This window comes from Homo sapiens, chromosome 14 (genome assembly GCF_000001405.40).
Source record: "Homo sapiens chromosome 14, GRCh38.p14 Primary Assembly".
Taxonomy (NCBI): domain Eukaryota; kingdom Metazoa; phylum Chordata; class Mammalia; order Primates; family Hominidae; genus Homo; species Homo sapiens.
Genome location: NC_000014.9, coordinates 71,771,494 through 71,797,429, shown reverse-complemented (window position 1 = coordinate 71,797,429; position 25,936 = coordinate 71,771,494). Strand labels below are relative to the sequence as shown.

The following is a 25,936-nucleotide window of genomic DNA, read 5'->3' as shown; positions in this document are numbered from 1 at the left end:
GGGCGTGGTGGCAGGCACCTGTAGTCTCAGCTACTTGGGAGGCTGAGGCAGGAGAATGGTGTGAACCTGGGAGGCAGAACTTGCAGTGAGCCGAGATCACACCACTGCACTCCAGCCTGGGCGACAGAGTGAGACTACATCTCAAAAAAAAAAAAAAAAAAAAAAAAAAACAAGGAAAGTCTGAGAAACTGTCACAGTCAAGAGGGGTCTAAGGAGATATGGCAAATACAGTGGGCCCTTGAACAACACAGGGGTTGGGGGCTCTGGCTTCCGCCACCCCCCGTGCATTCAAAATTCCACGTATAACTCTTGACTCCCTGAAGACTTAACTACTAGTAGCCTACTGTCGATCAGAAGCTTTACCTATAACATAAACAGCCAATTAACACATACTTTGTAGGTTCTATGTGTTATACACTGTATTCTTACAATAAAGTAAGCTAGAGGAAAGAAATTATTAAGAAAACCATAAGGAAGAGAAACTGTATTTACTATTCATTAAGTATAAATAGAGTGTCCTAAAGATCTTCATCCTCGTCGTCTTCACGTTGAGTAGGCTGAGGAGGAGGAAGAAGAGGAGAGGTTAGTCTTGCTATCTCAGGGGTGGCAGAGGTGGAAGAGGTGGAGGAGGTAGATGGGGAGGCAGGAGAAGCAGGCACACGCACTGTAACTTTACAGAAATACATCATAATTTCTGTCTTTTTGCATTTTCATTTCTCTAAAAACATTTCTATACTACACCAGTCTTCCTTCCACCATTTGCTTTAGTTTTGGTGCCTGTCTCATGGAAGAGTCCGTGTTGTAAAAGAAGTCAAAAGCAGTCCTGAATAATCAGAATCCTGCCACCAGATTGTGTAAAATCAACTTGTTTTGTCTTCTTTCTTTTCTTTTGAGACGATTTCTCACTCTGTGGCCCAGGCTGGAGTGCAATGGCGTGATCTCGGCTCACTGCAACCTCCACCTCCTGGGTTCAAGCGATTCTCCTGCCTCAGCCTCCCAAGTAGCTGGGACTACAGGCACCCGCCACCATGCCCAGCTAATTTTTTGTATTTTTAGTAAAGATGAGGTTTCACCATGTTGGGTGGGCTGGTCTTCAACTCCTGACCCCAGGTGATTTGTCCACCTTAGCCTCCCAAAGTGCTGCAATTACAGGTGTGAGCAACCACACCCAGCCCAGCTTGTTTTCTGGCATTGCTTCTTCTATGTCTTCCTCTTCATCTGGCACTGGTTTGGAAGCACTCATCTCTGTCAAGTCATCTCCTGGTGCAATATCAAATAGCTCCTGAATTTCCCCCAGATCTATCTCTTGAAATCCTTCACCCACCCCACCTTTTTTTGACATATCCACAATCTCTTTCATGATTTCCTTGATTGACTCTGTCATAAATCCTGTGAAGTCATATATAACATCTGGACACAATTTTCTCCACAGGCATTTATTGTTTTGAGCTTGACGCCTTTCACAGCTTTTTCTACAACAATAATGGCATCCTCAAGGGTGTAATCCTTCCAAACATGTATGATGTTCTCTCTATAGGGGTTTATTTCATAGAATTGACAATCTTTTCTATAGAGTACCATGTTTAATCTGCCTTAAGGGTCCTTATGACCCCTTGGTCTGGAGGCTGAATTAGAGATATTGTGTTTGGGAAAAAGGAAGTCCCTTTCTGTCAAGGTGCCTTCTGACTTCAATAACAAATAATCGATGGAGCCAATCTAGGAAAAGGGTTCTAATTGCCCAGTCCTTCTTGCACAACCAAAGCCTGCCAACTGGTGTTTATCTTTTCCCTTCAAGCCTTGAGGGTTGGCAGCTTTATATATAAAGGCAATCTCATCATAAACCCAACTGCATTTGCACAAAACAGTTGAGTAGCCTATTCCTTCCTGCCTTAAATCCTGATGTTCACTTATCTTCCTTACTAATAAATGTCCTTCACAGCATTTTTAGCCAGAGTAGGGCACTTTCATCTACATTTAAAAATCTGCTCAAGCAGATATACTTTCTCCTCAATGATTTTCTTAATGGCATCTGGTAACTCATCCACTGCACCTTGGTCAGTGGAAGCTGCTTCTCCTGTTATATTGACACTGTTTTAAAGCCATACCTCTTTCTAAAGTTAACAAACCATTTTTTGTAGACATTAAATTCCCCAGCATTAGATCTTTCACCTTCCTTTTGCTTTAAGTTGTCATATAATGACTTCACTTTTTAAAAATTCATATTACAGCCTATAGGTATGCCTTTCTTATAGCCATCCTGCACCCACATACAAGCTGCATTTTCAATATGAGATTAAGAGGTATTTTGCAAAAAAAAAAAAAAAATGCAAGGTTTTGAGCACCCCAAATACTCTGACTTGATCATTACACAGTCTATGCATGTAATAAAATATCACATGTACTCCATAAATATGTATAAATATTATGCATCAATAACAAATTTTTAAAAAATTAAATAAAGGCGATTGATTTTTAAATGATGTGATAACATATGAAAATGTAAAACCATTCTAAAAATGTTAAAATATTTAATTGCAAATCAATAATCTATCTTAAGATGATGGAAAAAGAAGAGCAACTTAAATGCAAAACAAATAGAAGGGTATAATAAAGTTTAGAGCAGAAATAAATGAAATAGACAGTAGAAAAACAATAGAGAAAATCAATGAACACAAAAGTCAGTTACCTGAAAAGAGTTTAAAGTTTCAAACTTTCAACTTGACTGGCAGAGAAAAAGAGAGAGAAGACTCAAATTACTAAAACTAGGAATGAAGAGAGAACTTTAATTCCAATCCTACAGAAATAAAAATAATTATTAAAGAACACTATAAGGCTGGGTATAGTGGCTTACACCTGTAATCCCAGCACTTTGGGAGGCCGAGGCAGGTAGACCACCTGACCAGGAGTTTGAGACCAGCCTGACCAATATGGAGAAACCCCATCTCTACTAAAAATACAAAAAATTAGCTAGGCATGGTGGCGCATGCCTGTAATCCTAGCTACTCGGGAGGCTGACGCAGGAGAATCGCTTGAATCCAGGAGGTGGAGGTTGCAGTGAGCCAAGATCATGCCATTGCACTCCAGCCTGGGCAACAAGAGCAAAACTCTGTCTCTAAATAAATAAATAATAAAAGAACACTGTGAACAACTATATGCCAACAAATTAGATACCACAGATAAAATGGAAAAATATTTAGAAAGACATAAACTACCAAAACTGACTCAAGAATAAATAGAAAATCTAAATAGACATATAGTGAGTAAAGACATTGTACTTGAATAATAACAAAAAAAAGCTGTGAAGAAAAGCCCAGGCCCAGATGTCTTTACTACTGACTTTTACTAAACATTTAAAGAAGTAATACCAGATTTCCCAAACTCTTCCAAAATACAGAGGGGGAAAAACTACTTCCCAATTCGTGCTATAAGGCCAGTACTAGCCAGACATCAAAATGAGACAAACATATCAGAAGGAAAAAAAAAAACTCACAAACCAATAACTCATAAATATGGATACAAACATCCTCAATAAAATACTATCAAACCAATCCAGCAACACATATAAGAAATTATACACCATAACCAAGTGATATTTATCCCAGGAAAGCAAGGTTAGTTTAATATCCAAAAATCAATTAATATAGCATATTAATAGAATAAGAATAAAATCCACATGATGATCTCAATAAATGCAGAACTAAAATCTGAATAAATTCAAATCCTTTAATGATAAACACATGCAACAAATTAGGATTAGAAAGAAACTTCTTTAACCTGAAAAATGACATCTGTGAAAACCCAACAGCTAACATCTTACTTAAGGGTAAAAGACTGTATTGTCTTGATGTCTTGTCTTGATATTTATATTCAACATTGTACTGGAGGTCTTATCCATGACAATTAAACAAGAAAAAGAAATAAAAGGCATCCAGATTGGAAAGGAAGAGGTAAAACTCTATTTGCAGATAGCATGATCTTGTATACAAAAAAAAACCCTAAAAGATACACTAAAAATATTAGAATAAATGAATTCAGTAAAATTGCAATACAAGATCAATATACAAAAAAACAATTATATTTCTAAACACTTTCATTGAACATTTCAAAAATAAATTAAGAATACAATTCTATTTATAATAGCATCAAAAAAGAATACTTAGGAATAACTTCTACAGAAGTAGTACAAAACCTATATTCTAAAAACTACAAAACATTATGAAAAGAAATTAAAAGAATATCTAAATAAATGGAAAGATATCCAATGTTCATGGATAATTCCTATCAAAATCCCAGCTGGCTTCTTTACAGAAATTGATAAGCAGATCCTAAAATTTGTATAGAAATACAAGGGACCCAACACAGCCAAACTATCTTGAAAAAGAAGAACCAAATTGGACAGTTCCGTATTGTTTAACTCACTATAAAACTACAGTAATCAAGATAGTAAGATACTGACATAAAATAGACATATATATATATATATATATATATATATATATATATATCAGCAGAATAGAATTGAGAAATGAACCATTACATTTACAGTCAATTAATTTTAAACAAAAGTACCAAGACAATTTAATGAGTAAAGAATAGTCTTCAATAAATGGTACTGGGACAACTGTATATCCACATGCAAAATAATGAATTAAGACTCCTACCTCTTACCATATACAAAAATTAGCTCCAAATGGAACAAAGTTTCAGGATACAAAATCAATGTACACAAATCAGTAGCACTGCTATACACCAACAGTGACCAAGCTGAGAAGCAAACCAAGAACTCAACCTCTTTTACAATAGCTGTAAAACTAACAAACAAAACCTAGGGATATGGCTAACCAGGTAGGTGAAAGCCCTCTACAAGAAGAACTGTAAAACACTGCTGAAAGAAATCATAGATGACACAAACAAATGGAAACACATCCCATGCTCATGGATGGATAGAATCAATATTGCGAAAATAACCATACTGCCAAACACAATCTACAAATTCAATGCAACTCCCATCAAAATAACATCATCATTCTCCACAGAACTAGAAAAAAAAAATCCTAAAATTCATATGGACTAAAAAAGAGCCCACATAGCCAAAGCAAGACTAAGCAAAGAGAACAAATCCGGAGGCATCACATTACCCAACTTCAAACTATACTATAAGGCTATAGTCACCAAAACAGCATGATACTGGTATAAAAATAGGCACATAGGCCAATGGAACAGAAGAGAGAACCCAGAAATGAAGCCAAATACTTACAGCCAACTGATCTTTGACAAGGCAAGCAAAAACATAAAGTGGGGAAAGGACAGCTATTCAACAAACGGTGCTAGGATAACTGCCAAGCCACATGTCGAATAATAATACTGGATCATCATCTCTTACCTTATACAAAAATCAACCAAGATGGATCAAAGACTTAAATCTAAGACCTGAAAAAATAAAAATTCTAGAAGATAACATCAGAAAAACCTTTCTAGACTTTGGCTTAGGCAAAGAATTCATGACCAAGCAAATGCAAATGCAAATGCAACAAAATCAAAGATAAATAGATGGGACTTAATTAAACTAAAGAGCTTCTGCACCACAAAAGAAATAATCAGTAAACAGACAACCCACAGAGGGGGAGAAAATCTTTGCAAACTATGCCTGTGACAAAGGACCAATATCCAGAATCTACAAGGAACTCAAACAAATCAGCAAGAAAAAAACAAATAATCCCATCAAAATTTGGCTAAGGACATGAATAGACAGTTCTGAAAAGAAGATACACAAATGGCCAACAAACCTATTTTAAAAATGCTCAACATCACTAATGATCAGGGAAATGCAAATCAAAACCGCAATGTGATACCACCCTACTCCTGCAAGAATGGCCATAATTTTAAAATAAAAAACTAATAGATGTTGGCGTGGAAGTGATGAAAAGGAAACACTTTTACACTGTTGGTGGGAATGTAAACTTGTTCAACCACTATGAAAAACAGTATGGAGATTTTGTAAAGAATTAAAAGTAGATCTACTATTTGATCCAGCAGTCCCACCACTGGGTATCTAACCAGAGGAAAAGAAGTCATTATATGAAAAAGACACTTGCACACACATGTTTACAGCAGCACAATTCACAATTGCAAAAATACAGAACCAGCCTAAATGCCCATCACTCAATGAGTGGATAAAGAAAATGTTTTATATATATTATATATATATATATAATATATATGTGTGTATTTTATATACATATATATATATTTTGTACATATATATATATGGACCACTACTCAGCCATAAAAAAAGAATGAAACAATGGCATTCGCAGCAACCTGGATGGAGTTGGAGACCATTATTCTATGTGAGGTAAGTCAGGAATGGAAAACCAAACATGGTATGTTCTCACTTATAAGTGGGAGCTAAGCTATGAGGATACAAAAACGTAAGAATGATACAATGAACTGATGGACTCGGGGGAAGGGTGGGAGGGGAGTGAGGGATAAAAGACTATACATTGGGTACAGTGTACACTGCTCACATGATGGGTGCACCAAAATCTCAGAAATGACCCCTAAAGAACTTATCCATGTAATCAAACACCACCTGTTCCCCCAATAAAACCTATTAAAATAAAAAAAATAGTAATAGGCCAGGCACGGTGGCTCACGCCTGTAATCCCAACACTTTGGGAGGCTGAGGAAGACAGATCACCGGAGGTCGGAAGTTCAAGACCAGCCTAACCAACGTGGAGAAACCCCATCTCTACTAAAAATACAAAAAATTAGCCAGGGATGGTGGCACATGCCTGTAATCCCAGCTACTTGGGAGGCTGAGCCAGGAGAATCGCTTGAACGCAGGAGGCAGAGGTTGCAGTGAATGGAGATCGCACCATTGCACTCCAGCCTGGGCAACAAGAGGGAAACTCCATCTCAAAAAATAATAATAAATAATAATAACAATAAATAAAACCTCAAAAAAAATACAATTGTAAGTAGAGACATAACCTCATAAAATATGGGCAAAGAATATGAATAGAAATTTCTCCATACAATGGAATATTATTTGGCAATAAAAAAGTGAGGTACTGACTCGTGCTACATGAATGAAGCTTGAGAAGTCATGTATAAGAAGCCAGTCATAAAAGTCTTCATATTGTATGATTCCATTTACATGGAAGATGCAGAATAGAAAAATCCACAGACAGAAAGTAGACTAGTGCTTGTCTAGGGCTGGGCGTGCTAGTGAGGGGAATAAGGCGTTTCTGCAAATGGGTATGGAATCTCTTTTTCCGCTGATTAAAAATCTTCTAAAATTGATTTGGTGATGGTTGTAAAATGCTAAGAATATCCTAAAAATCACTGAATTGCACACTTTAAAAGGATGAGTTGTATTGTATGCAAATTATATTGCAATAAAACTTGTTTTTAAGTTTTGCAAGTCTTAGCTGACCAACCACCATGCAGTCTCTAAGAATCTGGAGAAACCAAGACAGATGTTAGAGATAAAAGATCAAAGGAGAGAATTTCCCCCATGGGTATAAGGTGGGGCTACCTTTCCTTCACTTCAAGATCAGTGAGAGACCACTCCAGAAGCTTGATATGAATCCCTGGGGTGTACAGTGGCATAGACCTGAAAAATCTAACAGGCAGGAAGCTGGAGGCAGCAAGGGAGAGCTATGGCTGGGATGAACCTGCACTTGCACTTCTACCAACAATGGGACCAAGTCTCCTGCTTTCTGGGAAGGTTGTATGCATAAGAGTCATTTAGGCATGGCTTACATCCTGCCTGAGGACTGCATGGAGGGACAGAATTGTTCTATGTGCTATCCAAAGGCTGAGGGAGGAATCATGAGTGCATAGAAAGAGGATATATGCCCCTTCAGGAAAGGAACTACCCAGGTGAAAGCCAACTTTAGACATCTACCTCGTCCACCTTCAAACACAGTGCCAGCCATGGCTGGGATTAGAGCAAGGGAATGAAGCAGTTCAGGTGAGCACAAAATTTAAGAGGATACGAAAAAAGTCAATAATCAAGATAAATAATATTTTGACACAATATTTTAAAAATTAAAATTAAGGTAAAAACATCCATGATGAACAAAATATCAAAATGTTAAATAAAGGTAGGATCAATAATGGTGCTGCACCAATCCATAATGGAACCTGAGGCAAAAGAAAAAAATGTATGTCCTATACACAGGCACACCTCTAAACGATTGCAGGTTCAGTTTCAGCCACATCAGTAGAGCAAATAGTGCAATAAAGCAAGTCACCTACAGTTTTTGGTTTCCCAGTGCATGTAAAAGTTATGTTTATGTTTATACTTAATAGACTAGTATGCTGTAATATGCTAGTCTATTCATGTATATATGTAATATACTAGCCTCAGTATATTCTAAGTATATACTATACTAGTATCTTAATAGACTAGTATACTATACTAGTCTACTAAGTGTGCCATAGCTTCATGTCTAAAAAGCAATGTATATACTTTAATTTTAAAAATACTTTACGCTAAAGAAATGTTATAAATCATCTGAGCCTTCAGTGGGTCATAATATTTTTGCTGTTGGAGGGTCTTGCCTCAACACTGATGGCTGCTGACTGATTTGTGTAGTGGTTGCCGAAGGGTGGGGTGGCTATGGCAATTTCTTAAAATAAGACAGTGAAATTTGCCACATTCATTGACTTTTCCTTTCACAGAAGATTTCCCTGTAGCATATGATACCATTTCATAGAATTTTACTCACAGAAGAACTTCTTTCAAAATTAAGGTCATTTCTCTCAAACCCTACCGCTGCTTTATCAGTTAATTTTATGTAATATTCTAAATCTTTTGTTGTCATTTCAATAATGTTCTCAGCATCTTCACCAGGAGTAGATTCCATCTCAAGAAACCACTTTCTTTGCTCATCCATGAGAAGCAACTCCTTATCCATTCAAGTTTGACAGAGGTATTGCAGCAATTCACTATCATTATCATCAGGCCCAACTTCAAATTCTAATTCACTTACTATTTTCACCACACTTGCAGTGACTCCCTCCACTGAAGTCTTCAGCCTCTCAAAGTCACCCATGTGGGTTGGAATCAACTTCTTTCCAACTCCTGCTAATGTTGATATTTTGACCTCCTCCTATGAATCATGAAAGTTCTTAATGGCTTCTAGAATGGTGAATCCTTTCCAGCAGGGTTTCAATTTATTTTGTCCAGATCCATCAGAGGAATCACTATCTCTGGCAGCTATTAACCTTATAAAATGTATTTCTTGAATAAGACTTGGAAATCAAAATTACTCTTTGACTCATAGGCTGTAGAATGGATATTGTGTTAGCAGGCATGAAAACAACATGCCTTGTACTTCTTGTACATCTTCATCAGAGCTCTTGGGTGACCAGGTGTGCTGTCAATGAGCAGTAATATTTAGAAAGTAATCTTTTCTTCTGTGCAGTAGGTTTCAATTGTGGGCTTAAAATATTCAGTAAGCCCTGCTGTAAACAGATCCAGGCTTTGTTGTTCCATTTTTAGAGCACAGGCGGAGGAGATTTAGTATAATTTTTAAGGGCCCTAGAATTTTTGGAATGGTAAGTGAGCATTGGCTTCAACTTTAAGTCACCAGCTGCATTAGCCCCTAAAAAGGGTCAGCCTGTCCCTTGAAGATTTGAAGCCACTATTGACTTCCCTCTCTAGCTATGAAAGTCCTGGATGGCATCTTCTTCCAATAGAAGGCTGTTTCATCTACACTGGAAATCTGTTGTTTAGGCTTGGCCATCTTCATCAATGATCTTAGCTAGATCTTCTGGATAACTTGCTGCAGCTTCAACATCAGCATTTGCAGCTTCACCTTGCACTTTTACGTTATAGAGATAGCTTCTTTCCTTAAATCTCATAGCCCACTCCTGCTAGCTTCAAACTTTTCTTCTGCATCTTCCTCACCTCTTTCAGGTTTCATAGAACTGAGGAGAGTTAGAGCTTTACTCTGGATGAGGCTTCGGCTTAAGGGAATGTTGTGGCTGATTTGATCTTCTATCTGGACCACTAAAACTTCCTCCATATGAGCTGTAAGGATGTTTTATTGTGTTCGCTGGAAGTAGCACTTTTAATTTCCTTCAAGAACTTTTCCTATGGATTACCACTTGGCTAACTGATGCAAGAGGCCTGGCTTTCCACTAATCTCTGCTTTCAACCTGCCTTTCTCACTAAGTTTAATAACTCCTAGCTTATTATTTGGAGTGAAAGATGTGTGACTCTGCCTTTCTCTGGAGCTCTTAAAAGACACTGTAGAGTTATTAACTGGCCTAATTTCAATATTGTTGTTGTCTCGGGGAACAGTCAGTGGGACAATCAGAACACACACATTTATGAAGTTCACTGGTCTTCTGTGGGTACAGTTCATGGAGCCCCAAAACAATTGCAATAGTAACATCAAGGATCACTTATCACAGATCATCATAACAGATATAATAATCATCTGAAAGTTTGAAATATTGCAAGAATTACCGAAATGTGACCCAAAGACATGAAGTGACCACACGCTATTGGAAAAATGGCACCAACAGACTTGCTTGATGCGGGGTTGCTACAAACCTTCCATTTGTAAAAAAAAAATATGGTATCTTTAAAGCACAATAAAGCAAAGGGCAATAAAATGAGGTATGCTTGTAATATATGTTTAATGTATGTTTTTAATGTTTTTTCCAGAACATTAACACTGTTGAAAAATATGAAAAAATTACAAAGTTATTGAAACCACATTACTTTAAATTTAAATATTTTATTTATATCCCAAATAGAGTTATCATTTTAATTTACTGGCCTTAATGAACACAAACTTATCAATATTTTCAAAATCAACTTCTTCACTTACCTCGTTTTTAATTGAGAGAATTGCTGTGCTTGACAATTTCTCTTGACTAAGCAATAATGCAAAATAATTTTTAAATTAATTTCAACTTATTCTGTCTTTGTTTAAAATTTTGACATATTGCTCATCATGGATTTTTGCATTAATTTTAGTTCTTTAAAATTTTGCATTAAAATGTTATGTATTTTGTTTACAGTTTTGGGGGCCCCTTAAGTTTTATGTCCTAATCCTGGCTCTGATGTTAGACATGTCCATACTTGTTAGGTAAGACCTCTCTTGACATCTTCACTCTCCCCTCTCTTCCCTGCTTTTCCTGAAATGGTCAGAAACTTGGTTATCACACTGAGGAAGGTGGATAGGGAGCATTAGTGTAAGTGCTAAGTTGAGGAATCTTGAAGAATTCAGTTAGCTCCTGTAATATGTTAGAGTTCTCCAGAGAAAGAGAACCAGTAGTAGATAGGTAAGTAGGTAGGTAGGTAGATAGATAGATAGATAGATAGATAGACAGACAGACAGACAGACAGATACACACACACAGCCATGTGTCACTTAATGATGAGGTTGGTTCTGAGAAATGCATCATTAGGCAATTTCATCATTGTGCGAACATCATAGACTATACTTACACAAACCTAGATGGTATAGCCTACTGTACACCCAGGCTATATAGTACAGCCTATTGCTCCTAGGCTACAAACCTGTACAGCCTGTTACTATACTAAATACTGTGGGCAACTGGAACACAATGGCAAGTATTTGTATATCTATACATAGAAAAGGTACAGTAAAAATACCATATTATAATCTTTTGGACCCACCATTGTACTACACACTGTCACTATCATAATGTGAGACATGACTGTGTGTGTGTATATATATATATGTAAAATATATATGTAATGAAACTTCTCAGCCTTTATAATCCCATGAGCCAATACCTTATAATAATTTTATATATCTTTATGTATCTAATATATATCATATATACCCTATGTATACATATATATGTCCTATAAACATATATAGACACATACTAGATACAGATATAGATTATAAGGGTTTGGCTCACGTGATTATGGAGGACAAGAAGTCCCACAATCTGCAGGCTGCAAGCTGGAGGCCCAAGAAAGCCAGCAGTGTAGTTCCAAAGCCCAAAGGCCTGAGAACCAGCAAAGCCAAGGGTATAGGTCCCAGTCCAAAGTCCCAAGAACACCAGTGTCCAAGAGCAGGGTATGATGGATGTCCCAGCTCAAAAAGAAAGAGCAAAGTTCCCCTCCCCTCCCCTTCCCTTCCCTCCTCCAAAAAGAGTAAAATTATCTTACTTGTTTGTTCTATGTAGGCCCTCAAAAGATTGGATAATGCCTACTGGCCTTGGTGAGGGCAGTGTTCTTTACTCAGTTTACTGATTCAAATGCTAATCTCTTCCAGTAACATCCTCACAGGTACACTGAGAAATAATGTTTTACCAGATAGCTGGGCATCCCTTAGCCCAGTCAAGTTGATACATAAAATTAATTATCACAGATCATTTTTCTTGAAACAGGTCTGAGCTAAGGAAGAAGAGAACCTTTACCTAAACACAGTTGGAGATTTGACTACTTAATCCTAACTGCTAAGATGCAACTGATTTTGTGACTTGATATCACCAGATTTTTTTTCTTATCTGAGAGTAACCAAAAAATTTGAGGCCTGCCCTAGATTTCATCCAAGAGTCAGGAAAGTAGCTCCCCAGAGCAGAGTTGAGCCCGGAGCTGGGATTGGGGCCACCAATACATTGCTTTGGGCTACACCTGAGAAGTCAATTTTTTTTTTATTCATTGCATTGGTTATATAAGGTTCCCACTCCAGAGAGCAGTCCTGTAAAAGCAAAGAATATCACAGTGACTCTCTAGCACGTAATGTTTTCATTCTTCTCAAACCTCTGAATTTAGGTAGACCAGATTCATTTTCTGAAAAATGTGCTATTTTTCAACGCTATTTCCATCACTGCAATAAAACACTTAATTTTCTTGTCCCTTTACAATGAGTGATCCATAATGCTATTTCTGCACATACTGAAGTTTGAGCTATTCATTTCTTCTTCTGATCTTTTAATCAAAAGCTAAGAATAAGGCCTTCTCTAAACTGACAATATCACTCTAATAGAATGAATTTTAAAATCAAGAAATCCCTCCAGTTACTTTCTTTTCCCCTTCCCCAATCACAGTGTTTCCTTTTCAATCTCATTCAACATTATCTTAGTTTTAATATCTTCCCTTTCAAGTATATTCCACAGTAATTTCCTAGGGGAATGCTGAGTCTTCTGTATTACATATCTCTATTAGCTTTTAAGTCTCTCTTCACCAGGAACACTTCTAGTGCAATAACCCAATTATTTCGAGGAAGATTGGAAAAGGAAAAGCTAGCAGAGAAGACAATTATGTTTGTGTGAAGTGGAGTTAGTGCAACTGGCTTGAAAGTTTCGTGACAAAGGAAGGCTGACTCTAGTCCTTTAGGGAGTTTAAGAAATAGAAACTAAAAAGGGTGGCTGCTGAAGTTTGCAAAGTTCACTCACCTTCTATGCCACGAGTATTGCCATAGGCTATAGCATGCTGACAATCATTATTGTCAGGAAGCCAATGGAAAGGTTTTAACCCCAAGCATAGTTTACCCAGGGATGGCATATTCGCATGCCAACAGGAACCCCAGAGGCCAAGTCAGTGCACGAAGCTGGCTGGGTTTAAGAAAGCTCTGTGTGTTAAAAACATAGGAATGGCCTTTATTTTCACATAGAAATATGCTCTCTCTTACTTCCTGAAATACACAGCCCCTTTGGTCTTTTTCCATTTTTGATAGGATTATGCTACTTTCTCTTAATGCTTCTATAAGAAAAATAACAAGGTGAGTGTGATGATAAGCAGCAATTTACAATGTCAGGTAGAAAATAGAGAATAATAAGAACTAGGAAGGACTGGAGAGTGCGTCCAGTGGGGCAGCTGCCACCCAGCACCAGCCTTGTTGAAGTGATGTCATTTGTCTGGGGTGATACCCAAGGTTTGCAGCCTCATGCTGAGGAAATCAAGGACGTGGACACACAAGGAGTGAGGTTAAGAGCAGAGGTTTAATAGGTGAAAGAAAGAGAACTCTCTGCAGCAGAAAGAGGTCCTGGGGAAGTGGGTTGCTGCTTCCGCAGTGGAATGCAAGGGGTTTTATAGATGAGCTCGAGGAGGTGGTGTCTGATTTACATAGGGCATGAAAGATTGGTTGGACCAGCTGTGCCATTTGCATAGGGCACAAAAAACTGGTTAGGGCTAGGTGTGCCATTTGCATAGGACATGAAAATCTGGCCACCCCACACCCTAATGTTTTATTATGCAGATGGGCTCTCTGCCTGGCCAATGCCATGTTGCCTGTTTCTTTACTGTACACGTGGTGACAAAGAAAAGGGAAGATGGAGCCTCCATGTTGAACATACCTCGCCCCCAGGTGGCCTTTTTCTATTGGCACAGCTGCCAACATTCACCCATGCAAGCTTCCAGCTTATCTATGTCTGCAGCTCCATCTTTCAGGCTGCTCTTTATCAGAAAGGAAATTATTTGGGGGGCTTCTTTTTTGTTAAAAAGGGAAATTCTGCTGAGGGCTCTTTGACCCTCACTACCTGCCCAAATAATTTCTTTCTAGCTCCTATATCATTGTTACTATGTGGGAACATTGGCTTCTGTAGTCAAGTATTTCTATGACCAAGAATCCGTATATTTATGTCTTCCATCCACTCCTAAATGTTGGTTCTTCTTTTTTAAAAAAAAAACACTTTACAGGCCCATACTGATGGATTAAAACAACCCTGTCTACAGGTTCTACAGGTTGGATTTTACCGGAGTAGTAAAAGTTTGTAAGATCTACTATACACCCTCAGAAATTTTGTCATGTTCAGCTAAATATTTGCATGAAAAAGTACCTAAAGGATCTTCTGTTTAATCTCTTTTAATTAGAAAGATATAACCATATATATATACATATATACACACATCATATATATATAAAGTAAATTCAGGCTAACCCCATATTGGACAGGAGACTCAGTAAGCCTGGTTCAATCATTCAGCCCCAGCTGCCTCACACCCAGGGGTACACTCATGAGAGAAGCAGCTCAGTTACAAATCAACACCTGCAATTCAAAGTGAGTTTTGATTTGGGATTAATATTTGAAACCATTGTTTATTTTCTTGCTTTTTTTTGTTTTGTTTTGTTTTGTATTTTGTTTTGTTTTGAGACAGAGTTTTGCTCTTGTCACCCAGCGTGTGTACAATGGTGCTATCTCAGCTCACTGCAACCTCCACCTCCCAGGTTCAAGCGATTCTCCTACCTCAGCCTCCCAAGTAGCTGGGACTACAGGCGCCTGCCACCATGCCCAGCTGATTTTTGTATTTTTAGTAAAGAGGGGGTTTCACCATGTTGGCCAGGCTAGTCTCGAACTCCTGACCTCAGGTGATCTGCCCGCCTCAGCCTCCCAGAGTGCTGGCATTACAGGCATGAGCCACCGCACCAGGCCCCGTTGCTTATTTTCTTTGTTCACAGCTTCCTAGTACATGTATGGTAGGTTACTCCTGGCCAGAAGCCACTTGGGCTTCCTGTTATATTTGAGTTTCTGCTTCTCTGAAGGGTGACTGCAAAGCTCTTTAAGAACCTCAAAAGTAAAATTGAACTTCCAGAGTCAAATGGAGGCACATCACATAACTTTCATTTTTTAATTTTTAATTTGTATCATTATTATTATTTTTTTGAGACAGAGTCTCGCTCTGATGCCCAGGCTGGAGTGCAATGGCATGATCTCTATCTTCACTGCAACCTCCACCTCCTGAGTTCAAGTGACTCTCCTGCCTCAGCCTCCTGAGTAGCTAGGGTTACAGGTGCCCGCCACCACACCTAGCTAACTTTTGTATTTTTGTATTTTTAGTAGAGACAGGGTTTCACCAGGTTTCACCATGTTGGCCAGGCTGGTCACAAACTCCCGACCTCAGGTGATCCGCCCCTGCCCCCAGCCTCCCAAAGTGCTGGGATTACAGGCATGAGCCACCATGCCCAGCCATAAATTTTATTTTGGGCCATCCAAGTATGCCTTCCAAACTTCATATTCATATGAAGTGTTAAGATACATCAGATATCAGGCCAGGCGCAGTAGTTCACACCTGTAATCCCAGTGCTTAGGGAGGCAGAGGCAAGAGGATCACTCCAGCCCAGAAGTTTGAGATCAGCCTGGGAAACACAGTGAGACCCTGTCTCTACAAAAATATTTTAAAATTAGCCAGGCACGGAAGCACACACCTGTAGTTCTAGCTGTTTGGGATGCTGAGGCGAGGAGATCTCTTGAGCCCAGGAGTTTGAGGCTGCAGTAAGCTATGATCATGTCACTGTACTCCAGCCTGGGTGTCAGAGCAAGACCCTTTCTCAAAAAAGGAAAAAAAATATATATATATATCAGAAATCTCATTGTTTTAAAAAGATTTTCCATGGAAGAACGATGACATCATGTTTGGTTGTATGTGACCTGTGGACGAGTTGTCTGGGGACAACAGGGTGTTGCCTCAGAAGCTTATAAGGCAATAAGGTAGAGGCTGTAGTGAGTTGTAATCACGCCACAGCACTCCAGCCTGGGTAACAGAGTGAGACCCTGTCTTGGGAAAAAAGAAAGAGAGAGAGAGAGAGAATTTTACAACTTTACTGAAACATTTGAGATTGACAGTCACTGATAATCCTGTTAGATTTATTAGATTTGTTAGCTGTGTTTAAATACTTGGGAAAACTGCTACTTTGTTTAGACATTTTAAAAGCTTTTAAAATAAAAAGGGATATATTACCTTTATAAATAATGTTTAAAAGATTTAAAAGAATTGTATTGACTGGGTTAAATAGGATTATTTGATAAATAAAAATATAAGACATATATAGAACATAAAAGTTTAGAGAAAAACTAAGCTTCTGAATTTGTAACATTAATAAATCAACTATTTATTTCAAAACCCCAATTAGTACCAAATAACCCTGAAGGATAGCAGAAATGTTGTTCTGGCTTAGAGCAGAAGCTTCCGGAAACCATCACCCTAATTTTTATCATGAGCTGTGTGACCTGGGATTAAGTCTCTCTATCGCTATGGTCCTTAAGTTTTCTCTTCATTTATAAAACAAAGGCAGTGGCCTAGCTGGTCCCTAAGGCACCTTCCAGATCTGACATTTCAGAATTCCCAGGCTGCCTGTTCCATTTGCCATCCGTTCTGACATGCTGCTGATTTGACAAGTTGCTCAGGAAGGCTGCCCCACCTTGATAAGAATCCTGTTTGGCTGTTCTCCAGGGAATCTTTTAGTTTATGGCTTTTGATAACATCCTACTTACTTGTTTATTTTTAAACCTTAAGAAAATGCTTCCTTCCCCAAACCCAGCTAGGACAATAGGACACACCATAAACAGGGAAAGCCTCATGTGCATAACTTTCTGACTCTTCTTTCCCCATCTTGTTCAAGAAAAGAGCCCTATCTTGACCTAGACTTTCTGAATCTGAAAACCAATTATTTATTTCACCTTGTTCACACGATGTCAAAATACCAATCAGGAAAGTCCATTCTATTCTCAAGTCAGTCAGATCAAAGAAGGTGAACAATTCAAACAGTTCAGGAAGACTCTAATGACCTTGCAGGTGAAGCAACCAGCGGTTTGTATTTGTGGCTGGTTATTAGCTGAGGCAGCCCTTCCAGCCGGTAGTATTGACCATGGGCAAAATTATGATGTCAGAGAGGTTATTCCCACATGCTGATGGCATCTCCCACTTCTTAGGGGGTTTCTCTGAAATCTTTCCTTGGCAGTTTTCTTCCCCTCCATCAGTCCCTTCAGTTGTATTCCAATCTCATTGATTTTGCCCTGGGGCAGTTCTCACAGCCACCATGTTTTAACTGTGTGACCGACTGAATAGACCATGTACTGCCTAACACCATGAACCGCAAGGTCCCTCCCCCGCAGGGATGTGCAATGACCCTTTGGGTAACCTTGGACAAGTTTGACTTCTCTGAGCTCCAGTTTCTTCTAAAAAGGGGTAGTAATATCTCTTTCACATGATAGCTTTGAGGATAGCTTTGATCTCATTAGATAGAGTATATAAAGTACTTAGCATGGAAGCTAGCACAAAGTAAGCACTCAATAAATGGCGTCTCAATAATTATTAATAAGTTATAAATTTGAAAGATCTTCAACACATATGTGGAATTTCCATCAGAAAAAAGTCGCTTACCATCCAGTAAGGCTGCTCCTACGGCAGCACTGTGGGAAGGAGCTGTGTCATCACTACCTAGTTAGATACTGAGGTTGACAGATAGGGAACCATGGTGCCTCTTGGGAGAGCAGAGGTGGGGTCACTTCATCTTGAATAACCACAGTTTTCTTAACCATAAAACAAAGATCATTATAATATTGACTTTGTAGAGTTGGCCTGAATATTAAATAATTACGTAAAATGTTTCACACAGACCCTGGCACATTGGAAGAGCTTGATAAATGTTAGCAATGATTACAAAGTAAGCTCCAGCCGAGCACAGTGGCTCATGCCTGTAATCCCAGTACTTTGGGAGGCTGAGGCAGGCAGATAGCTTGATCTCACGAGTTCGAGACCAGCCTGGGCAACATGGTGAAACCCCATTTCTATACAAAAGAAAACATAAAAATTAGCTGGGTGTGGTGGTGTGTGCCTGTAGTCCCAGCTACTCAGGAGGCTGAGGTGGGAGGATCACTTGAGCCCAGGAGGCAGAGGTTGCAGTGAGCCAAGATCACGCCACTGCACTCCAGACTGGGTGATAGAGCCAGACCTTGTCTAAAAAAAAACAACAAAAAAAAGAAGTTCCTTGAGTTCTGGCTTGTTTTCTAATACATCCAACGTTAAAAATAGTTCCATGTGGCTGCTCAATAAACATTTCTTGAATATATTATAATATTGTCATTGTTACCTTTGGGAAATTAAACAAGAAAAATCAATCCTTAATGGAGAAGATTGTGTTTCTGTGTGGACACAATGCAGGGTTTTTAGGAGGATCCTTAGGAAAAACCAAAGGATTTGTAAAACTTAATTCGGGAGTGAGAATGCAGTCCCAGAAGATGTATAGAAAGGTGGAGGCTTGGCCGGGCGCGGTGGCTCACGCCTGTAATCCCAGCACTTTAGGAGGCAGAGGCAGGCGGATCATGAGGTCAGGAGATCGAGACCATCCTGGCTAACACAGTGAAACCCCGCCTCTACTAAAAATACAAAAAATTAGCCGGGCATGGTGGCGGGTGCCTGTAGTCCCAGCTACTTGGGAGGCTGAGGCAGGAGAATGGCGTGAACCCGGGAGGTGGAGCTTGCAGTGAGCCGAGATTGTGCCACTGCACTCCAACCTGGGTGACAGAGCGAGACTCCGTCTCAAAAAAAAAAAAGAAAGGTGGAGGCTTAGTTAGCAAACTCCACAATGTAAACAAAGAACCTGTGCTAGCAGAGGGATTGGTGGTTTTAATGAAAGCTAGGAGGTTGGAGACAAATGCGACTGCTGAAGAGGCGGCTTCTGCCCTTCCTGTCTGATGTGTCTTCAGTATTGGAAGCAGATGCATCAGGCTGTGGGTTTGATGACAGTAACCACTGAAGTCAACCAACTACCCCACCTTGTCCTGAAATTGGCTCCCAAAGCAGCCTTTTGTTTGTAATTCATGGTTGCAAATGAGAAATGTTCTGGCAGGTTTGTCTTACACAATGATTTTTAAAACTTTTATAAATTAGTTGCTAATATTTATAAATCAGGAAATGACTCCTATAAATCTGAATCTCCAACTTCTGAAAAATCAGAAGGTCTGGCCACATCAAACCCTGAGTAGCAAGAATTAGGTGGAGATTATATTGGCTGCATATTTTAGAAGGGGAATAGAGTCCCCTGTTCAGCCCACTCCCAACAACTCCCTTTCACCTCACACCTGCTCAATTCATTTCTTTACCTACCTTGCTTCATAGGCATTTTCAGTTTTCTATCCCTCCAGAGAGCCAACGTGCTAATTAGCTGATATAGTATGTTGACTGTTATGTTTCTTGCTCCAAATTAGTGAATTGTTACTGAGGCTTTTGCATTTGTGTCTTGTCAGTTTGACTAGTGTGAGTCAGTACTTTGGGCCTCTTCACCTCTGAACACACAAACCAAAATCAAATGTATGGACCTGCTCAGGCTGAGGCTCAGGCTCTGCCTGACTTCCCAAGAGATCCGCTCTCAGCTGACGCTAACTATTCTCTGATTAGCACTCTTCAACTTACCAATTGTCTTCATGGATTCCTCAAAGCACAGAGAACAAACTGTCAAACAATGTCTGAAGGGCAGCACAATCATTCACCAGCTGAGTTGCAAATAAGACACTGACCCAGTTAATCTGTGAACCTACTGCAGAAGCTTGGGAAAGCTCTGCTGGTTTATGATTGTCCTTGAAGGACTCAGGCTTAGATGTCGCCTCTTTGTCTTGCGCATAACAAAGGCCAATGGAAATTGCTATCGACAGACTCATTCCTGCCTTGGTTCCCTTGCCATCTCTTTGTGGCTTCCTTCATTAGCTCTTTTTTCTTCTCAGAGAAAGTCCATGACCTTGGAGGTCTGCATTTCCTTTCTGAATCTGCGCCATCACCGCTGTAATGGAATGAGTGTGTCTTTCTGCTACCCCAGGATCTGTGGCCAAACAGAAACCACAGATGCCCTCTCAGCTTGTCGCCTATCTTTCTTGTTTCATCTCAGCTGGAAAGGGTCTTTGCAATTCACACTTTTTTTTCCTCTTCTCACATCAGAGCAAAAGCAAACATTAATTTAAAGAGCATCTTTTTATAATAAGAAAAACCTTCGACTTTCAACACAACCAGAAAGGAAGCCATTTGTCCATGCCGAGAATGAGCTATCAGCATGTGCTCAGTATTACTTCTCCACTGGGGGTGATAGATACACACTGAGCCATCTGTACTTCTCCACCAGTTCTCAGGACCAATGCTTGGCATTTGCAAGTCACATTAGGAGGATTATTTGTGGCCAGACACTGAAGCTAACAGGTTTAAGGACAGACTAAACCCTTGGCTTCATTACTGTTGCTCCAACCACTACAGTGACTAGCCCAGACATCCATGCACCTTCACAGGCAAAATATCTCAGTCACTTCTCTTTTTCTTTACAGTAAGAAAATAAATATGAGGCCAGGCACGGTGGGTCACACCTGTAATCCCAGCACTTTGGGAGGCCGAGGAGGGCGGATCATTTGAGGTCAGGAGTTCGAGACCAGCCTGGCCAACATGGTGAAACCCTATCTCTACTAAAAATATAAATATTAGCTGGGCATGGTGGCACACGCTAGTAATCCCAGCTACTCAGGAGACTGAGGTAGAAGAATCACTTTAACCCAGGAGGCGGAGTTTGCAGTGAGCTGAGATGGAGCCACCGCACTCCAACCTGGACAACACAGCGAGACTCTGTCTCAAAAAAAAAAAAAAAAAGAAAAAAGAAAAGAAATATTGAAAATGATATACTCTTCTTTGTGTAGAAAATAACCTTGTATTGTATTCTACAAGTGGGAGGTAGAAATGTCTGCAGTGTGTACTGCTATGTTAATAGATTTTTCTGACAATGTCAGGTTGATTATCCACCTAAGGTATGGTCTATAAATCTGCTTACTGCCCATCCTTCCCCTGGAGAAGCCTAAGAATAAAAGGAGCTTGAAGAAAGCAGCTCTCAACAGCCTCAGGGAACTGCTACTTTGCTTACATTTCTATGGCTCTTCCTGAGTCCCCATGTGTGAAGTCTTTATTTCTTAGATATGCTTGGGACACAGCCATTGCCTTATTTGCTCAAAAGGCTCAGGACCAAGAAGCTTAAGAAAAGTCAAGGAACTCGTAGTTAAAAGGAAGTTGGAAGTTTTCTCTGAGCCCTTGTGACCTTGAGATCCATAAAGGAGTTAAATGTCCATTTGTCTGAAAGGTAAGAATTTAAATGTCTTTGACTTCAGAAAATTAGATGTGCCTTCACATCTTTTCATAAGTAACTTCACAGCTGTAGAAACCTCTAAAGAGAGATAACATACGTTTCCCTTCTCTTCAAAATGTCCACACAAAGGTTCTTCTTCCATGGTTTGAAATTTCTCAAATCTTCACCTTTCCATTTGAAAGTGAGTATGACCAGGTTATCCAAAAACAGGGAAGCATATGGGTAGGACCACTCAGACCTGATCCCCACTTTCCAGTGTGAACCCCAAATATCCGAGACAGGTCTCAGTTAATTTAGAAAGTTTATTTTGCCAAGGTTGAGGATGCACGCCTGTGACACAGCCTCAGGAGGTCCTGACGATGTGTGCCCAAGGTGGTCAGAGCACAGTTTGGTTTTATACATTTTAGGGAGACATGAAACATCAATCAAGATATGAAAGATGAACATTGGTTCAGTCTGGAAAGGCAGGACAACTCGAAGCAGGAAGGGGGCTTCCAGGTCATAGATAGGTGAGAGACAAACAGTTGCATTCTTTTGAGTTTCTGATTAGCCTCTCCAAAGAAGGCAACCAGATATGCATTTATCTCAGTGAGCAGAGGGGTGACTTTGAATAGAATGGGAGGCAGGTTCCCAGCTTGAATTTTCCCTTTATCTTAGTGATTTGGGGGGGCCAAGATTTATTTTCCTTTCACACCAGGATGAGACAAGGGAGCATCTCTTAAAGCTAGAAAGAGCTAGCTTGGTAGCAAATAGAAGATTGAAACTCTAGAAATATAGTAGGTGCTGAAATCAATAGAAATGAATGATTGAAATAATAACCAAGCCAATAACAAACAGGTGAACAAATAAACATCTGGAACTCCGGATTCCAGGAGAAGCATGTGGAAAACCATCAATCCCAAAGGGTTTTCATCTTTTGTCCTCCACACTCAGAATCCTGCACAGAAGACCAACTTCAGGTGTCTGACCATTCCCATTTCTATTGCTAGCTGTGAATCCACCTTTCTCTCCCACACCAAGGCTCATGTCTGTGTTACAGTCTCGCCAATGCACCACAATGTAGCAGTCTGTCATTGCCTGAGGTAGTATCCAGAGTTCTTTGTCTCATGACCAAGAAAGTTAAGGAGCATGGACGCCAAGGGTGAGGTTGGAGCAAAGTTTAAAAAGCAAAAGAAGAAATTTCTCTGCTGCGAAGAAGAGACCTGGAAGAGGGTTGCTGTTTTTACAGTTGAATGCAAAGGCTTTATAAGAAATTGATGAGGGCTGGGTATTTTATTTGCATAAGGCACACATTTCTGGTAGCTCCACCCCATCCTCCTAGTGCTCATGCAGACCTTTAGCTTGAGTTACTCCATATTGCTTTGTTCCTCTTACTGCACATGTCTCAGGGGATGGAATTTTCCACTGAGGGCATGTCTGGGCAAGTCACCTGTGTAGCCTTTCTTATCTGTGCGGCTGTGAGCATGTCTTAGACAAGCCCCCCTGTGCAATTTCCCTTATCTGTGCCTGCAGGCTGTTCTTTTGTTTGAAATAACTCAGCCAAGGACCCACCCTAACTGCCTGCCTGTCTGGTTTCTTCCTTTCTCCTTTCTCATCTGTACCTTCTCAAGTACATCCTGCAGGTTTGGCTGCCTGCCCTGGCCTCTGTGGGCCAAGGGGACTCAGGGCTGGCCAGCATTAAGCCCTCCCTACCCTGCCACCTTCTCACCTTTGCCTGCCTTCTCATCACATCTATGAGGCTCACAGAGTACCAGATGGACCAGAAGTACATGTCTCTTCTCCCCCTGGATTCCTGAACTTAAAGAGGATCTGTCCCCCAGACTCAGCCCCCAGAGAAGTGGGGTATGAGGGAGAACACAGGGCCACACTCCAGCACCTGGGCTGTCATTTCCCCCAGCTCTCCTCTGCCTGCAGAATCCTGAACAAACTTAGGGCCGGAGTCATGGCAGTTACAGCACCAGGTTCCTTCCAGGCCTGCTGTGTATGGCGCAGACTTTGGCTTTGGTATTGAAGCCAGTTTTCCTCCCAGGTGGAAATGTAAAAGTCTGTTTGGAAATTTAAAATCCAAGAAACAGGTGGGGTTTTTATTTTGCCGTTTGTACTGTATTCCAAAATCTCTCCCCTGAGAACAAACGTCTGACTGATGCCGATGTTCTTAGAAAAGACAGGACAAAGAGGGGTTCCTGGGAATTAACATACGAGTCAACATCAAAATCACACCCCACTGCCCTTGCATGTCAAAGGAGCTTCTGGAAATCCAAAAATACAGCTCCACTGCCCTTTTGTCAAGGGCCTCTCCACCTGCTTTTTATTGTGACTAGGATGTTTCTCCCTGCTGCCGGCAGGCTCGCAAATCTCCAGCCCCTCCTCCAGGGAGCCGCATCTGCTCTGCCTCCTCACTTCCTGCATCCATCTCTGAGGCACCCAGTAAAGCTCATCTTTATTGTGCTCTCTGGGGTCCTGGCTGCTGGGTTCAAAGCTGGCCCCACATATGCTGTCTTTCTGTCCTCCACCGGAGATGCTGCTGTTTCCAAGCCACGTCTAGATCTTGCAGGAACCCAGCGCTCCACCTCTTCTCTTCGGTCATCAGCTCCCTGAGCCTCAGGCCTGAGGTGGCCTCCAGGCTGAGGGTGGGCTGTTGGCCTGGCTGCCTTGCCCTTCCCTATCTTCTTCTAATCACCGCAGAATCCCCTCTCACAGCTAACTTGGGCTGAAGATCACATTCCAGCTTCCTCCTGAGAAGAACATCTAATTTCCCTTTCCTTCCCGGGATGAGAAATAATTAGGAGGCTTAGGACATGAACAGGAAGAAATCCAAAGTTGTTTGATTTGGCTGCAAGGCTACTACATGGCCCCCAAATTTTCCTTAGGTAGAAAGAGAGCTCTTGTCCTTTTTTTTTGAGATGGAGCCTTACTCTGTCACCCAGGCTAGACTGCAGTGGTGCGATCTTGACTCACTACAACCTCCACCTCCCGGTGAGAGACAGGACTAGCTAGATTTTCTAGGCCGACTAAGAATCCCTAAGCCTAGCTGGGAAGGTGACCACATCCACCTTTAAACACGGGGCTTGCAACTTAGCTCACACCCTACCAATCAGGTAGTAAAGAGAGCTCACTAAAAAGCTAATTAGGCAAAAACAGGAGGTAAAGAAATAGCCAATCATCTATTGCATGAGAGCACAGCAGGAGGGACAATGATTGGGATATAAACCCAGGCATTCGAGCCAGCAACGGCTACCCTCTTTGGGTCCCCTCCCTTTGTATGGGAGCTCTGTTTTCACTCTATTAAATCTTGCAACTGCACTCTCTTCTGGTCCGTGTTTGTTATGGCTCAAGCTGAGCTTTCGCTTGCCATCCACCACTGCTGTTTGCCGCCGCCGCAGACCCGCCTCTGACTTCCATCCCTCCAGATCTGGCAGGGTGTCCGCTGTGCTCCTGATCCAGCGAGGCGCCCATTGCCGCTCCCGATAGGGCTAAAGGTTTGCCATTGTTCCTGCACGGCTAACTGCCCAGGTTCATCCTAATCGAGCTGAACACTAGTTACCGGGTTCCATGGTTCTCTTCCATGACCCACGGCTTCTAATAGAGCTATAACACTCACCGCATGGCCCAAGATTCCATTCCTTGGAATCCGTGAGGCCAAGAACCCCAGGTCAGAGAACACAAGGCTTGCCACCATCTTGGAAGTGGCCAACCACCATTTTGGAAGTGGCCCGCCACCATCTTGGGAGCTCTGGGAGCAAGGACCCCACAGTAGCACTGAGTTCAAGCGATTCTCCTGCCTCAGCCTCCCGAGTAGCTGGAATTACAGGCATGCACCACCATGCCCGGCTAATTTTTTTGTATTTTTAGTAGAGACAGCATTTCACCACGTTGGCCAGGCTGGTCTCAAACTCCTGACCTCAAGTGATCTGCCTGCCTCAGCCTCCCAAAATGCTGGGATTACAGGCATAAGCCACCACCCCCCTGCTGAGAGCTCATGTCTTTAACAGGGCTTAGCTTGCTCAGCCCCACCATTTGTCTTTAGGACTTTGTGATCCTGGAGCACAGGATCCATTGTTGTCAGTCCATAAAGAATCCCTCATGGCTTAATTACA

General features: G+C 40.7%; 4 annotated features.

Annotated features, from left to right (window-relative positions):
- Positions 13,304-13,598: a silencer, noted in NCBI's record as "tiled region #15223; HepG2 Repressive non-DNase unmatched - State 24:Quies". NCBI's record gives its function as "represses a minimal TATA promoter and a strong SV40 promoter by Sharpr-MPRA in HepG2 cells {active_cell/tissue: HepG2}" and the evidence as "EXISTENCE:reporter gene assay evidence [ECO:0000049][PMID:27701403]".
- Positions 22,282-23,481: an enhancer, noted in NCBI's record as "MED14-independent group 3 enhancer chr14:72240666-72241865 (GRCh37/hg19 assembly coordinates)". NCBI's record gives its function as "activates an origin of replication core promoter dependent on BRD2, BRD4, P300/CBP and CDK7 cofactors, and independent of MED14, by STARR-seq in HCT116 cells {active_cell/tissue: HCT116}" and the evidence as "EXISTENCE:reporter gene assay evidence [ECO:0000049][PMID:35650434]".
- Positions 22,282-23,794: a biological region, named in NCBI's record as "MED14-independent group 3 enhancer GRCh37_chr14:72240666-72241865".
- Positions 23,112-23,794: an enhancer, noted in NCBI's record as "H3K27ac hESC enhancer chr14:72240353-72241035 (GRCh37/hg19 assembly coordinates)". NCBI's record gives its function as "activates a minimal SCP1, AML or CMV promoter by ChIP-STARR-seq in primed H9 embryonic stem cells {active_cell/tissue: H9 hESC(primed)}" and the evidence as "EXISTENCE:reporter gene assay evidence [ECO:0000049][PMID:30033119]".